At 35.9% G+C, this 16,374-nt stretch overlaps 1 protein-coding gene across 66 annotated transcripts in view; it reads right to left on the bottom strand.

The window, feature by feature from the left end:
• ANK2 (ankyrin 2) overlaps positions 1–16,374 on the bottom strand; it is a 678,115-nt gene that overhangs the window by 129,404 nt on the left and 532,337 nt on the right. For all 66 annotated transcript variants that reach the window (NM_001386186.2, NM_001386148.2, NM_001354269.3 and 63 more), the window contains 3 exons: positions 13,750–13,848; positions 12,124–12,222; positions 4,471–4,569 (listed from right to left, as the gene is read on the bottom strand). In NM_001386186.2, coding sequence (NP_001373115.1) covers positions 4,471–4,569; positions 12,124–12,222; positions 13,750–13,848 — 297 coding nt within the window. The remainder of the gene's footprint in view (positions 1–4,470; positions 4,570–12,123; positions 12,223–13,749; positions 13,849–16,374) is intronic.

The following is a 16,374-nucleotide window of genomic DNA, read 5'->3' as shown; positions in this document are numbered from 1 at the left end:
TGTGGATACAGCAGGGAACACAACAGACAGGAAACCCCCGTCTCTATCGAGGTTACATTCTAGTGTGGAAGACAGACATACAATTTAAAAACAATAAGAATTAAAGTATATAGTATATTGGATGGCCATCAATGGAAAGGAGAAAACAAAAACACCGAATGGCCTAGGGAGTTTGTGTACGTGAGTGCAATTTTGATAGGATGTCCAGAAATGGCCTCACTGAGAAGATGAGTTTTGACGTGAAGGAAGTAAGAGAGCTAGTCTTGTTGACTTGGGGGAAAAACACCTGAGGCTTAGAAAAGGCAAGTGCAAATATATTGTGTTGGGATTATAACGGGCATGATCGATATCAATAATCGTAAGGAGAAGAATGTGGTTTAAGGCAAGTGATTGAGGAGGATGGATAAGGGGAGGAATTCAAAGAGGTGAGAGACCTTGCAGGTTTGACTTTTACTCAGAGAGACATGGGGTGCTGTTGGAAGGTTTAGGGCAACAGGATTACTCTTGCTGCTGTGCTGAGAATAGACCATATGGACAGAATGCAAAAGAAGGGAAGTCAATTAGGGGCCTCTTGCAGTCCTCCAGGTAGGGTTGATGGTGATCTGGACCAGAGTGGTAGTAATGAGATTGTTGGCAAGCTGCTGAATTAGTGACACATTTTGAAGGAAGAGGTGACAGTGTTTGGTGACAGAATGTGGAAAGTGAGAAAAAGAAGAGTCCAACATGACATGGGTATTTGGCCTGAGAAACTAAAAAAAATTAGATGGCCATTTGTTGAGATAAGAAGGATAACAGGAAGATTAGGTTGAGGGGTGGGTGTTATATCCAGTGCTTAATTTTGAGCTTACTAAATTTGAGATGCCCAGGAGACATCCAAGTGGCAATGGGGAGCTGACATCTACATACGGAATTCTGGAGATGTACACTCGTGGCACCAGCATACAGGTACTACTTAAAGATAGAACTGCATGAGATTTCATAGTAAGTGAGTGCCGATAGAGAAAAGATACAAAGACTGAGCTCTGGAGGTTCTAACATTCAGAGACCTGAGAGATGAGGAGGAACTAGTAAAGGAGACTGAGAAGTGGCAGCTAGGAAAACAGAAGGAAAGTCAGAAGAATGTAATGTCCCAGAAAGTAAATAAAGAAAGTGTTTTGAGAAGACAGGACCAAGCAATCACACCAGATGATAGTAACGGGAGAGAATGTAGACTACATGGGCTCCAAGTCATGTCACTGGATAGATATGGATAGATATGGAGGTGGGAGTCTCTGGAAATTATCTTCCAATTGCTTGAATTCTCTCAGTGTTATGGGAAATGAAGACAAGGAAAGAAGTCTACATAAGTTTGAAGAAAATATAGAATGGTCAGATAGCAGGGATCGAGAGTGAATAGACTTAGAAGATAGAGCGAGATTGTCAGGCAGCATTACCAGCTGACTTGAGGTTAGTGATCATGAATCTAAAATGAGCACAGTTAGTGTGGCTGGGTGTTTCCTGTAGCCACATTTGATTGCATGAATGTGAGTTGAATTTAATTGAGTGAAATGCAGGTAGTATGAATACGTAAGGGAGTAGCATAAATGACTATGAAATTTGTGCTGGGCAGAGGTAAGGGCATGATGTGAATGAGGAAGAGTGAAACTATGACTGAAGGACCCAGCAGAATAAAAGAATTTCGGAATTGGGGTTCTGAAGAGAGTGAGCTGAAACATAGGAGGGGCTGGCAAGTGTGAAGTTAGACACAGAAATAGATAGAGGGTTTAGAGTTACCTAACTGAGAGGCCAACTAGAAGAATTATCTACTGCTCTAATCAAGATCATTAAAGTCAGCAAGAATAAGAAGGGGTTGTGGTGAGGAGTCACAGTTTGCTGAGAGCTAGAATTGACAAAGAATGAGGGGGTGACACTTAGATAGTTGCTTCAGAAGAAAGAATGGGTGATTTAAACCTAGGAGTTTTTATGGAAGGTAATATGGTTTGGCTGTGTCCCCACCCAAATCTCATCTTGAATTGCAGCTCCCATAATTCCCTTGTGTTGCGAGAGGGACCCAGTGGGAGATAACTGAATCAGGAGGGCGGATTCCCCCAAACTATTCTCGTGGTAGTGAATAAGTCTCACAAGATCTGATGGTTTTATAAGGGGAAAGCCCTTTCACTGGGTTTTCATTTTCTTCTCTTGTCTGCCACCATGTGAGACGTGCCTTTCACCTTCTGCCATGATTGTGAAGCCTCCTCAGCCTCGTGACTGTGAGTTCCTCCTCAGGTGGAACTGTGAATCCATTAAACTTCTTTGTAAATTGCCCAGTCTCATCTCAAGTATGTCTTTATCAGTAGCGTGAAACGGACTAATACAGAAGGGGAGGGAGAATAGTCTAGCATTAGGTACCTATTCCACTCCCAGGAGAGCGGTATCCCCTCACTCTAACCTGATTAATTCATCTTCTCTGTGTTTATTACCCTATACATATCTCTATTTTTTATAATTATCTTTTTTTTTCTATCATGCCCACTAATTTCTGAGCTTCTTGCAGCTATAGATTGTGTATTATGGCCAGGCGTGGTGGCTCATGCTTGTAATCCCAGCACTTTGGGAGGCCGAGATGGGCAGATCACAAGGTCAGGAGATCAAGACCATCCTGGCTAACACGGTGAAACCCCGTCTCTCCTAAAAATACAAAAAATTAGCTGGGCGTGGTGGTGGGCGCCTGTAGTTCCAGCTACTCGGGAGGCTGAGGCAAGAGAATGGTGTGAACCCAGGAGGCAGAGCTTGCAGTGAGCCGAGATCGTGCCACTGCACTCCAGCCTGGGCGACAGAGCGAGACTGCATCTCAAAAAAAAAAAAAAAAAAAAAAAAAGATTTTGTATTATTCATCTTGATGGTGCCTTAGTGACTAGAACACTTGCCTGGCAAATTGTATCTACTCAATATTATATAATAGTTGGATGCATGAATACATGAACATAATTGTACACTCAGAGACACTTTATGCAGGATCCTTACATTTGAATGATACTTGATTTTACAGGAAGGACATTAAAAAAATTCCATCCAGGTAACCTGCCATCTTCATTAGTGACATGACAATTACAAGCAAACTCTGCAGATAAGATTATTTTACGGTTTGTAAAGCATATCTGCCTATTTTCAACTTCATATTGGTTTTTGTATTGGCTGTAACATGATTGGTCTGAAATTTTGTTATTTCCATTTAAATTTCAACGTTTCTTTATCAAAACTTTACATAATTATCTCTGCATTACCCAGCCCAAATTGTTGCATTTTAAAGACAGATCTATACAACATTCACAGTATAGGTATGAGAATAAAAGTAACGCGGATAATTATTTCTCTTCTTCATATATTACTGATTTGAAGCCACTCTTTTATGGCATGTGGGCACACCTTTACAAATTGAGTTCATTCTACACATATCTTAAACATATGGGCTAGTTTTGTTTCAAATGATTTCAATTATATATAAATTGAAAAATATTTGTTTGTGTCAATTGCCTTAGTTTCTTCAGCTTACCCTAGTAATAGCATTAGTTGATACCAACTCTGTCGGGGGGGGGGGCGGTGGTATGAGGTGGAATGGAATAGGGAGAAAATACAACAACTGCCCTTTGTCTAACTTTGTGTTGTATTTAAGGATCCAAGGTTGCTGCATATCACATTAATCAGCTCTGTATGAGTATCTCCAATTCGTGTCTCAAAATATTTTCTGATAACCCAATGTAGGGTTGGATAATAGAGAACTATACAATAATAAAAGCATTTAAAATACATTTGATAATGAAAAATCTTCAGCAAACCAACTCACAGTGTGGTGCTCATGTATATGGAAAAGTGCTTCTCCCATATTTGAGCATATTGATAAAACGGGAGGAAAAAGGGCTAGATGTAGTATGTCATAAAGAAAATATGCTTGCTTAATAGTTCTTTGTAGGTGGCCTATTGCAACTTGTACTTTCCAAATCACCTCTACTAATCTTCAACATAATCAACCAATGCCACTGTTGAGTAATTACTTTTTATTAGTATTGCCTAAGAGATAAAGATTGGATGAGCAAAAAGATTCATTTTGTGTTGCTAATTGTTCTGCTTTAAAAGATAATTTTATATATGTTTCATAGTCATCTGAGAGAATCATAAAAATCTAGACTCAGCATCTAAGAGATATTCTCATTTATATTTAAAATACAGATGTATTCAGATTTCCATCTGCAGTAAGAATAACAGGTAAAAATATAGACAAAAACTTGAAGGCACACATTTAATACATCTTAATTCATATATCTGTTTATTTTAATAATTTTAAGTGGTTTGATACATATTCCTATTCCTAGCACACAATTATTAAAGAACTAGAAAATGCTTGCCTGATGTTTCAATTTAAAAAAGAATAGAGATAATACATCAAGTAACTTAAAGATTTCTTAGGACCCCATCTTACTCATAATGACTCACCTTAGTCCTTGCCAGCAAGGGGGCACCCCGTTCCAACAGAAGTTCCACCACTTGGTCATGCCCACTTCGTGCAGCACAGTGAAGTGGTGTCAACCCATCCTGCCAAAAGAATTAAAGAATTAGGCCCAAGTTCACTTCAAAAAAATCTATATTTCATCTATTGCAACCATAAAGAGGGAGTTCCTAAACTCAATCCTGATTACTCAATAAATAAGTAATAGAACTGCAATTTGTTAAATAACCAGAAAGATGAGTGAAAGAGAAAACAAGTCAGAAGTACATCTTCACAGAGAACAAGAAAGAGAAAGGGAAAGACAAACAAAACAGAGACAGGGAGAAAGCAAGAGAGATCCCCTGTGTGGACAGAGGGTCAATGGAATGAAATTGGCTTCTGGTCATGTGTCTGCGTATTCAAGAAGATGGGAAAGCACAGTATGTGGCATTTGTTGAAATTTAAAGCTCTACTCCCTGGAACCGAAAACAGGGATTATATTAGGTTATACTGTCTTCATATTGTTTGTTCTAATATACTTTTACCTAAAAATTTTTCTTAGCGTAATTTTTTCACATATGTTCTCTTTTGAATTGTCATCACTTTCATAAATTCTAAAATGCTTCCTAATGCTTGCAAAAGTGAAGCATCATTTTTTAGACTATTTTAAAGATTTTCACACATATATTTCAACATTTTAGAAATCACATAATTGCTTCCCAAAGATGAACTTTATTATTAATAAATAGAACCCTAACTCCATCAAATAAAATATGGCAGAACTGTATGCTATATTACTTATAAAACTTTCTGATCTTTACACTTCTGGGATAGCCTCTGATTCCAGAGCAATCCCCAAGTGCCCTCTGTCTTTTATATTTTATTTCTCTTTAGGGTGGCATGGGCAAAAAGCAGAGTGGGTGGGAAATGTGAGGCGAAATGTAATTAACAGTGAGCAAGAAGTGAGAGAGAAAATGAAATACTGAGTGCTTAAATTTACTGGTGATTTGAGGTGGAAGGAAAAAGAAAAAAAGATTGTCCCAAGGACAGAGGTGGAGAAGGTGGATAAATCACAGAGAATGGATGGTGAGCAATTAAGAAGATTTCAGCAGTTTCTGATTTATCCAGAACTCAAATGGCCTCTCGTTTGTGTCTCTACTTCCAGGACCATCTCTCCAGGTTATGCTTTACTCCAAATAAAAATAATTCCTCTGAATCGCAACACTCTGACTCAACACGGAGATTTCTATGCTAGATGTCTTCTGTTTGCCCCTCCAGACCCATGCTCTACCCTTCTCCTCCCTGCTCTGTGTCCCAACAGACTGGCCACTGTAGGGGGCATCAGTGAGCTGCCTTGTCCTCTGGCTTCCAGCTGGGTTTGGCCAATGCAGCAAGACATGAAAAGGACTTCGAGAGACCTCCCAAATCCGGCTGTGTGTCTTTACGAAAGTTTACCTTCCTGCCAAAGCAGCCTTTCCACACAATTCTCTCCTTTGAAGTTCTGGGGGTCTCCTGTACTTCTCACTTTTTAGGTTGAGCACTGGTATTGAGTCCCGCTGTTACTAGCCCCTGGGATTCTACACTGTCCCTTGTCCCTTGTCTCTTTCCTACAGACTACACAATATTATAAATAGACCCTTCAATAATCTCTAATCAAATGATCAAATTTGGGCCTCTGTTTTTGGCTAGGACCTTGACTGATAATGATTCTTTGCTTTGTGAAATCCATTTAGCTAGTACGAAGATATTGAATAACCAAAACAGATTTTGCAGTTTTGGGTACCTAAGAATTAGCATGAAAAGATTGCCTTCTCAGAAAAAAAGTATTTAGCTAGTGTAGTTGAAATGCTACATTATTTTAAAATTTGCCAGATAGGAGCCTTAAAGAGTTGTTCCAGCAAAGTGATGACAATGATTACACTTTTGTATCCTGATAAAAGCACCCTGTGGTGGAACTACAGAGCATTAGTTGCTACATAACTTACCTAACAATTAGATATAGCATGGTTTCTCAAACGTATTCTTGGTGAGGGCTTTGTGGAGACCTAGGGTTTGAGAAATCCCACATGGTGAACAGAGACATCATATGTAACAGTTCAGTGTGTGGACTTCGGAACCATGGAACCCTGCAGTGAATCTCAAATCGGTCACCATGGATGAATCTCTCTAAGGCTGAGCTTCGTGATACATAGAGTGGAGATGATGTTTCTCACCCTATTTAACTTGCAAGCCTTGTTTGAAAGATGAAGGAGGGAATGGCACCTTACATGTTTTTTAGAAAAGGCAGAGTATTGCTTTCTGCAAATTGCATGAAATAGTCTTTGTGTAATCATGTTGAAACATCCAAAATACTCTCAGAGTAACAACAGGAGCTTTATGGAGAACATTTAATATACCCACAAGAACATCAAGGAACAATAAGGATTAAATTAGTTCTAAATCCTACATTTAATGATGCAAGGTGTCTGTGCTTATAAGATGTGTGAATGATGACATCAAATTCAAGTTACCCAACAGGCTCAATTTGATTAGATTTTGAATATTTTCTGCAAAGCACATTATAAAGTTAATGCCCCAAAAAAATTCTTTTCAAGCTTTTGTATTCTAAAATCTTTTTACTTAAATTCTTAAGTTTGTAGTTGCAGGTTATGGGTTTTTCCCCCTTCCAGAGACCCCTTGTGTTTTCTCTGTTGTTGTTTTTTTTTTTTTCTCTAGAATCAGTTCATCACACGGATGTACTATACACCATGATGTGGATAATTTTCATAAAGGTAGATCAATCAACATTGGAGGGATGCCACTTATGTAGTTTCTTTATCTTTTCATATCTTCCCCCCTCTCTGCTTAGGTCATTCTTTCAACAATGTATTCTGAAGTTTGTGTGAATACATGGGTAGGCTCTGCTGATTACAAAGTTCTGTGTCCTAGGTCAAGTTACATAATTCTGCTGAAACTAATTTCTCCCTTTGGTAGTCTCATTTCTCAAATGAAGACCTCCATATATTCTCAACAAGAAAATAATACACACTTCATAAGTTGTTAGGAAGATAAAATAAGATGATATTTGTAGAGTACTTAGCAGGGTGCCTAGAACAACATATGCATATGACAATTGAAAACCATTATTGTTACTGCTTTAATTATTATACCTAATAACAAGTAAGAAGGGTGATTCCTTTTCCCTGTGTGTTTTTTGTTCATCATCCTTTAATGTTTTTGTACACTTTTTATTGTTTGCTTTGAAATATGTTTTTTAATATTTTAAACATAATCCTAATATGCGGTATCACCACATTTAAATAATAAATAAGCTTAAAAACAAAAAAAGAATAATGCCCTTAATAAAGCCTAAATTTATAATTTCATTTTCACTAGCTATAAAATTTACGTTTTCACATTGAAATGAGGTCTTTCAGATACCAGTAAAAGGCTCTGGTGCAAATGTCTTAGAGTTTCACATTAGATAGTAGTCAATGATGAGAATGCCAACAAGATGGAAAATGCCTCAATGATTGCCAAAATGGTGATGAGAGCCAAGAAATAACTGTGGGTAATATTTGTTTCTTAATTATCTGAAAGCCTCTCTAGATCTTGCTATTCTCTAGATAATAAAAACCTTATGAATGAGAAAAAATAATGAGAAGATCAAGGCAAGATCCTTGACAGAATATACTAAATTCAGAATATTTGTGGTTAATTTAAATGCTGGGGGAAATTGAGATGTCAACAACAACAACAACAACAAAATGAAAACATAATACTTTAAAAACATTCCGGCCGGGTGTGGTGGCTCACGCCTGTAATCCCAGCACTTTGGGAGGCCAAGGCGGGCAGATCACCTGAGGTCAGGAGTTTGAGACCAGCCTGACCAACATGGAGAAACCCTGTCTCTATTAAAAATACAAAATTAACCAGGCACATGCCTGTAATTCCAGCTACTTGGGAGGCTGAGGTAGGAGAATTGCTTGAACCAGTGAGGTGGGGGTTGCGGTGAGCCGAGATCGCACTATTGTACTCCAGCCTGGGTGACAAGAGTGAAAACTCCGTCTCAAAAAAAAAAAAATTTTCATATGTAGAAGCTTTATTATATTCTCTAAAAATATAGTCAAAACCAAATTAAACATTGATATAGTTTATCAATGTTTTGATTTAGGCGTCACCACCTAAATCTCATCTTGAATTCTATTTCCCGTAATCCCTATGTGTCATGGGAGGGACCCAGTGGGAGGTAATTGAATAACGGGGTGGTTACCCTCATGCTATTTTTGTGACAGTGAGTTAGTTCTCATGAGATCTGATGGTTTTATAAGGGGCTGCCCCCTTCACTGGGCACTTATTTCTCTCTCCTGCCACCATTTGAAGAAGGATGTGTTTGTTTCTGCTTCTGCCATGATTGTAAGTTTCCTGATGCCTCCCCAGCCCTGCAGAACTGTGAGTCAATTAAACTTCTTTCCTTTATAAATTACCCAATCTCGGGCAGTTCTTCATAGCAGCATGAGAACTAATTAATATAAACATTTTTCTATTTTTGAATACATTTCAAAAGCAAAAGAAAAAGCAAAACATATTCATTTATTTTAGTAATCAAATATTATAGTTCCAGAATTGGCCTCCCAATTCCAGCCCACAGTCCTTGATTTCAGTATTTACCTCCTACTTGATTTTGTCTTTAGTAAGAGGGATATAGGTCTGTTAGCTGTAGCCAGAATGAAAAGAACCCAACAATGCTTTTAAAATCCTTCTACTTACAGATGAAGAAGTATTTCAACTTATGGGGGGAAAGTTTAGTGCTAAAAAAGATCAATGCAACCCTATTCACATAGCAAAAACTTAGAACCAAGCCAAATGCCCATCAATGATAGACTGGATAAAGAAAATGTGGCACGTATACACCATGGAATACTATGCAGCCATAAAAAAGGATGAGTTCATGTCCTTTGCAGGGACATGGATGAAGCTGGAAACCATCATTCTCAGCAAACTAACACAAGAACAGAAAATCAAACCCCACATGGTCTCGATCATAGGTGGGAGTTGAACAATGAGAACACATGGACACAGGGAGGGGAACATCGCACACTGGGGCCTGTTGGGGGACGGGTGTAGGAGAGGGATAGCATTAGGAGAAATACCTATTGTAGATGACAGGTTGATGGGTGCAGCAAACCACCATGGCACGTGAATACCTGTGTAACAAACCTGTATGTTCTGCATATGCACCCCAGAACTTAAAGTATAATAAAAATAAAAATGTTCAGTGCAACCATTCAATATTGTAGCTAATCCTGGGGTGTGCTGGAACCAGCTCATATGAAATAAGGAGAGCCACTTTTTGCACACCTCTTCCCAATTCTACATTTAGTGATACCAAGTTGCTAGCTCTAAACTGACCACTGTAGAAGTATTTACACCATGGAAACCAGCAAAGGTAATGCTACAAATCAAGGGTTTTGTTTGTTTTTTGTTTTTTTGTTTTTTAAGAACCTATTATTAAACTTTTACAAGAAGACTGTTAACTTAATTCCTTGAACTACTGACTTGCATCTCTATGAGTCTAGAAACCTACTCTGTCTTGTTAACTGTCGTATCTTCAGGGTTCACAGCACCAAGTAGGAACTCAATAGTTATTTGTTTAAGGAATAAATGAATGGAATGTTTATACAATGTATACAGTTAGAAAACCTATTTTATTCTTTTTAAATCCTTGAATGAAATTTAATTTATTTGCTGTATCTAAAGGCTGCACTATGACAGAACTAGTATAAGAATCCATTTCTCTTCATTTCTTAGTACTCTTTTTATGAAGATACACTGTCTATTTGGAGTTAGACTTTTTAATTGTATACCCAAATATATGTAAGCCACACAAATTAGAGTACTTTTATTAAGTAAATACTGTTGATTAATAAGAACAAAGTCAACTATCTTAATAATGAGTTAATACTCCAAAAAGCATTAATAAAAGCAATGTGCATCCTTAAGACATTGGCCAAGATAAAAATTTTTTTGCATTTCCAAAATGCTTTCTTTCCAGTGGTAATCTCATAAAGGCAGTATATAGGAAGAAATTATGTTAGTAAAGTATGTTTGTAATGTAATACATTGGTAATGTTAGTAATGATGTTAGTAATGTAGTAATGTGCAAAACTCATTCCTTTAAATAGAAAGAATAAGTAAGCAAACCATGCAACATAACGCATACTGTTCCAAATTCTGTATACTCACAGTATGGTAAGGAAAAAGGCATGCCTACTAAGCAAAAAGTAGAAACCATATAAAACTCTGATGCAAAGACACTGGACACCACAGCAAAGATTTGACAGAACGCAAACCTCTCCAGAACTCCCACGTGTTGTGATGTAGCCACTCTGGACCAAAAGTTTTAGAGAAGTGAGATTAAGAAAGCAAGGTTTCCTGAGGTCATTAAAAACCATAATTTATAGTCTGGGACTGGTATAGATTCTGGAAGCTTACAGATGATAAAGTTTATTAAACAAAAGTGTTTGCTAGCCCCCAGATTTGCAAGGAAACTAGATTTGATCTTTACTGCTGGGACTATGAAAACATGAAGTCTCAGAATTAAACAAAGTGAAGTAAAATACCATAAGAGACATATTCTATTTATCATCTTTCATAGGCTTTTTACACCACATATTAACATAGACTTTTATACCACATATTAACATTTTTGTATTATAGGCACATTTGAAGTTTTGCTGAAGTCTATGATTAACCAAATCTACTCCAGATAATTAATACTGAAATAATCCTTACATGTTTCAGCAAATAACTACATATTATATAACGTCAGTAATATTATCAAATATTATGAAGAGCTAGGTAATTTACTCTGCTTTTTCAAAAATGGTAAATAATATACCTAAGAGTTAATTCTCACACAACTTTATGAAGTAGGTGTGTTATTATTAGCCTAAGTTCAGAGAAGGTAAGTAAACTGCCAATATAATACAACTTATTAATAGTAAAAATAGGATTTGAAATCAGGCAGTTTGCCTTTATTCTGCACTTTTAACAACTGAACTCTACTGTCTATTGTGTTATCTATTTGGGGTGTACTGCAAACTTGAAATGACATTTTACTTAAGTTTGAAACAAATGAAAGCTATCACTTCTACCAAAATGACATAAAGGTATAGTATACTAACTGTATGCTTTTCTCCATAATAGCAAATCCCCTGCTCAGGTCAGTATAGCATAGCTGCTTAAGAAAAATGAATTAGGAATTGAATACTTAGAAGCAAAAGATTGTAAACATGTACTAAAATATTTTGTGTAAAAGCCACATTCTCAATCTTAATGTATGGTAATTAGTTTGGGTTCTTGATACTTATAACTACCCAAAAGAGAGTTGTGTAAGCCTAATCTTTGATCTTTGGTCCCAGAAAATCACTAAGCCAAAACTTGAAAAACTATCTCATTGAGGGACCAACATTTTGCTTCTCTGGGCACTTATGAGCAAATATTAATTTCACTGTACGGTATGAACCCTTTAAATGTTGTATGAGATTTAAATCAATTCCAATAAAGCAATTTCCTTGAAAACACATTGCTTATGTTAATGACCTGGTGTCTTGAGGTGCCTTCTATGAGGCTTGAAAGAAATAATAATGGTAGAAAATTGAAAGAACAGAGACACTCACCCTAGTTTTGGCATCGATCTGACCGCCTCGATCCAGTAAGAGCTTCACCATGTTTGTATTTCCTCTTTTGGAAGCCACATGCAGAGGAGTGATTCCATTCTACACCACAGAAAGACCAAACAAGAGCTGTTGGGTATGACAGGGCATGATGGCGATGCCTTTGTGTTAAAGGCCACAAAGGAAGTTGTGACCTACGTGGTAATTTGATCCACAGTTTCTACTCTTTCTATGTCTTTGATTTTTAAGGAACAAAAATCACACAAACCACAAAACAATATAGTTAGAGAATGAAAAATGGAATGAAACTGCATAACTAAGTTAGTCAATAACTACAAAATATGTATTGAATGTACAAGTTATAGTCAAGAGACAAAGGGACCACTTTACTGTAATAGAAACAAAAATTTTAAATCTACCTAAGATAGGGCCCTAGTGTAAAGTCTTTCTTTCTATAACATCCATGCACTTAAAGAGTCTGGCATCTTAAGTTTTATGATTCTTAAAAACAGAATACAAATATTTGGGTATTAATATCCAATATAAAAATGATTCTTAAAAACATCTCCTTCAAGTTGGGCATGGTGGCTCATGTCTGTAATTCCAGCACTTTGGGAAGTTGAGGTGGGAGGATTGCTTGAAGCCAGGAATTCAAGACCAGCCTGGGCAATATAGTAAGACCTCATCGCTACAAAAAATTTTAAAAAATTAGCCAGGCATGGTAGTGTGTTCCTGTAGTCCTAGCTACTCAGGAGGCTGAGCCAGGAGGATTGCTTGAGCCCATGAGTTCAGGGCTTCGGTGAGCCATGATCATGCCCCTGCACTCCACCCTGGGCAACAGAGCCAGACCCTGTCTCTAAACAGCAACAACAACAAACAAACGTCTCCTTCAGAATAATTCAGTAAGAAAAACAGCTTGAAAATAACACAACATAGTTTCAGTGCAGATGACTTCTTAGTACAAAAACATTATACATACAAATTATATTTATTTATTTTATTGGCTATCACATATCATCATTATGGCAAGGATATGTACCTGATTTTTTGTCTGTTGTAATTTTTGTATATTCATATTCTGCATTAACTGTATATTAAGTATACTGATATATACCATTATCATGTAAGTGAATTCTTTCTAATAACAGCATACCATGAAACATGTAACAATGTGACACCTTTTATGTATTTTAGTAAGACTTCATGTGAACAAATTCTCAATTCATTAAAAACAATTCCCTATCAAATTGTGTGCCCTACAGTCATCATAAGACATGCTACTTATATATTTTATAGTTAACATTTTAACAGTTTAATAATTTTTTGACGTGACTTATCAGGATTCATGGCATGATCGTTAAATATAACTGTTCATACTGGTCAGAATGAATGTCATCCTTAACTATTGGAAATAATTTTTGCATGAGTTTACAACATTCTTATTTTCTGCTTAAGCCAAGATGACTTCTTGTGATTTAAAGAAAGGAAATGAAAAATCTAGTATCTCCAGCACAGACCCAGGTAAGGAAAAAGAAGTAAAATCTTTAAGAAAGCCATTGGTGTTCCTTTTTACTTTATTAAAATATTCATTTACTGCTATCTAGAATGAGAAACTATTTCAATCCATACCCTGGCTGTGAAGTCCACAGCAGCTCCCCGGTTTAGAAGAAGAGTTGCCACGTTGACATTTCCGTAATGTGCAGCTATGTGCAAAGGGGTAAAACCACTCTATGAAAGCAAAGATATGACAGTCAGTATAGCGCTTCACTTTTCTATGTTGCAGCCATTGTATTAGTGAAGAAGGTCACATGGTAAAAGTCTACCTAATATATAAGCAATAATAAATGCTTTAGTAAGATCTTAAATCTTAATGTTATAAGGTGGTACATAACTAAACATATAAAAAGTAAATAAATATTCTACATTTATTGGCATAATATTCATGGCATATTTTTAATTATCTTAAATATTTATCTATTTATGAGATTTGTTGTTTATACAAAACAATGTTTCTTAAGTTGGTTTTGCATATTGAAGAAAACCAGAATATGTTTAAACAACATCAGGTTTCAGCCATAGGATTAACATATCAATGAATTTTTTAATGTCTTTTCAGAGAAGATTCAAAGAAACCAGTGTTTTTGTTTTATTTTTGTTTTAAAAAAGCAGTATTTGTTGACATTATACTTTTGGAAGCATGAAAATATGTTGAAAAATTCTTACAAAGATATAGAATTTGTTCCACATCATTTACACTGTCATGATATTCCTATACCCTTTTACAACTGTGTAGCACGATTATGTTGTTGTCATGATGAAATAATTAAAAAACAAAAATTAAACAATATACGTGGCATCAATAGGAATATAAAAGGAAGAAAAAAGTTCAGCTCACTCCAATTTTGAATGTTAAACAAATTTTATCAATACAATAAAGTGTAATTTAACCAACCAGGTTAAATCAACTATATGGGCATTACAGAACTGTTTACTCTCAAAATGTTTAAAAAATAAGTCTGAAATTATCAAATGAAAAAAATATATTTCCTTTTCTTTCTTTTTCTGATGAAAATCTAGTTGAAAATTGTTGCCATCTTTGCAATAGAAGCATGTTAACTCTTTTCTTATTAAAGTACACAAAGATCTAATAATTTTTCTTACTCTCCAGAATTTTCACTACTTAACAAAAGATTATGGGAAAAATAGAAACTGTTATTTGGCTATCACATCCTGCAGTTTTTGGGTTACTTGGTATTGCTCTCTTTTACTTGAAATGAACTACGATGTTTACTGTATTGTTTTTAAGAAATATTTTCAAAATTACAACTTTTTTTCTATTGAGTTGATCTATAGGCTTTGGTGGCTTTGTTTTAAAAACACCCTAAATAAGCACTCAGATACCTTAGGTAATGAAAATTTGTGCTCTTACTGTAGCAACATTAGATACAAATAATTTCTTACTTAGAGAGAAGCAAGACACAAAATAAGAACAGTTACTATTAATCCAAATCCCCTATCTATGATCAAGATATTTTTATTTTGCATTTACATAATGCCAATATTCATGTCAAAATGGAGGGGAAAATCAGCCCTCAACCTGGCTGTTATTTTATAAAATGTCAAATTTTCATATTTTAGGAAATAATTGACTAAATTTATTTCATGTTTATCTTGATATTTCCTGTCACACAGACATACCCTGAGTGTGTGTCTATTACTGATGTTACAATTTAGTTTCAGAAAAACATATTGAGGGTGGGTGGATCATTTTCAAAGTATTTAAATATAGTAATATCATTTGCAAAAATAAACTTATTGTCTGATACAGCCTCACTGATCATTCATAATGATAACCAAGCTGTCAATCTTGGATCAGCACAAAACTGGTATCAGCCCTTCAGAGGAACGCTTCCCTGATTAACATGGAAGTAGGAGGCAGAGTTCACATTTCTACAGGATTAGACGAAGGGGTTTCTCTTCTTTTTACTCTATTGTCTTCAAGCAAATATTTATAACTCAGTAAAAATCCACCCAAACTTCTGCTTTCACAATGTTTAGAGCCAATACTGCTTTCAAAAATGTATCTTAAATAATCACCAAAAAGCATCTAAGAAATTAAAGGTATTGAAATTAGTTATTAAGATATCAATTTGTACGGTTCCAGTTGTGAACAAGTTCACCAAGCAGTTGGGCTTTCCGTTGTCTCTGACCTAGGTTCCATGCAACGATAGGGAACAAAAGAAATAACACAAATAATTCAAGTATACCCTGTGAGAATGCTCAAAAGTCCACAACCTAGTCATCAAGCGAGATGATAGTCTAAAGAATCCCCTCAGCAAAACAATAATGGACCTACATAAAAAGTCACTTGTTTTTGAGTATAGGTTAGTTTGTATAATATACATCAACAATGTTCGTGTTAGTGTCTCTCTCTGTAGCAATGGCCAAGGAGAGACTACTAAATACATACATATACAAACACACCATACTGAGAGGCTTCTGAACTTAATGTTCTTATTGATTGATGTGACTTACTTTGGAATGTGGAAAATATACAATTCCATGACAAGTATTTTAAGACTTACAAGAAAAAGCAATTGGTCTGCTCTTGATATGCTCAATAACATCATTTATTATATAAATGTGGTAAAGAAAAAGAGCATACAGAAAAAAAAAGGGCAACAGCAATTAGATAAAAAGACAAAACTCAGTGGCAGAGAAACCTCCCAAATTTTCACTTCCTTAAAACTCTAA

This window comes from Homo sapiens, chromosome 4, assembly GCF_000001405.40.
Source record: "Homo sapiens chromosome 4, GRCh38.p14 Primary Assembly".
NCBI classification, from domain to species: Eukaryota; Metazoa; Chordata; class Mammalia; order Primates; family Hominidae; genus Homo; species Homo sapiens.
Note: the sequence above shows the minus strand (reverse complement) of the source record. Positions and strands in the feature narration are given on the sequence as shown.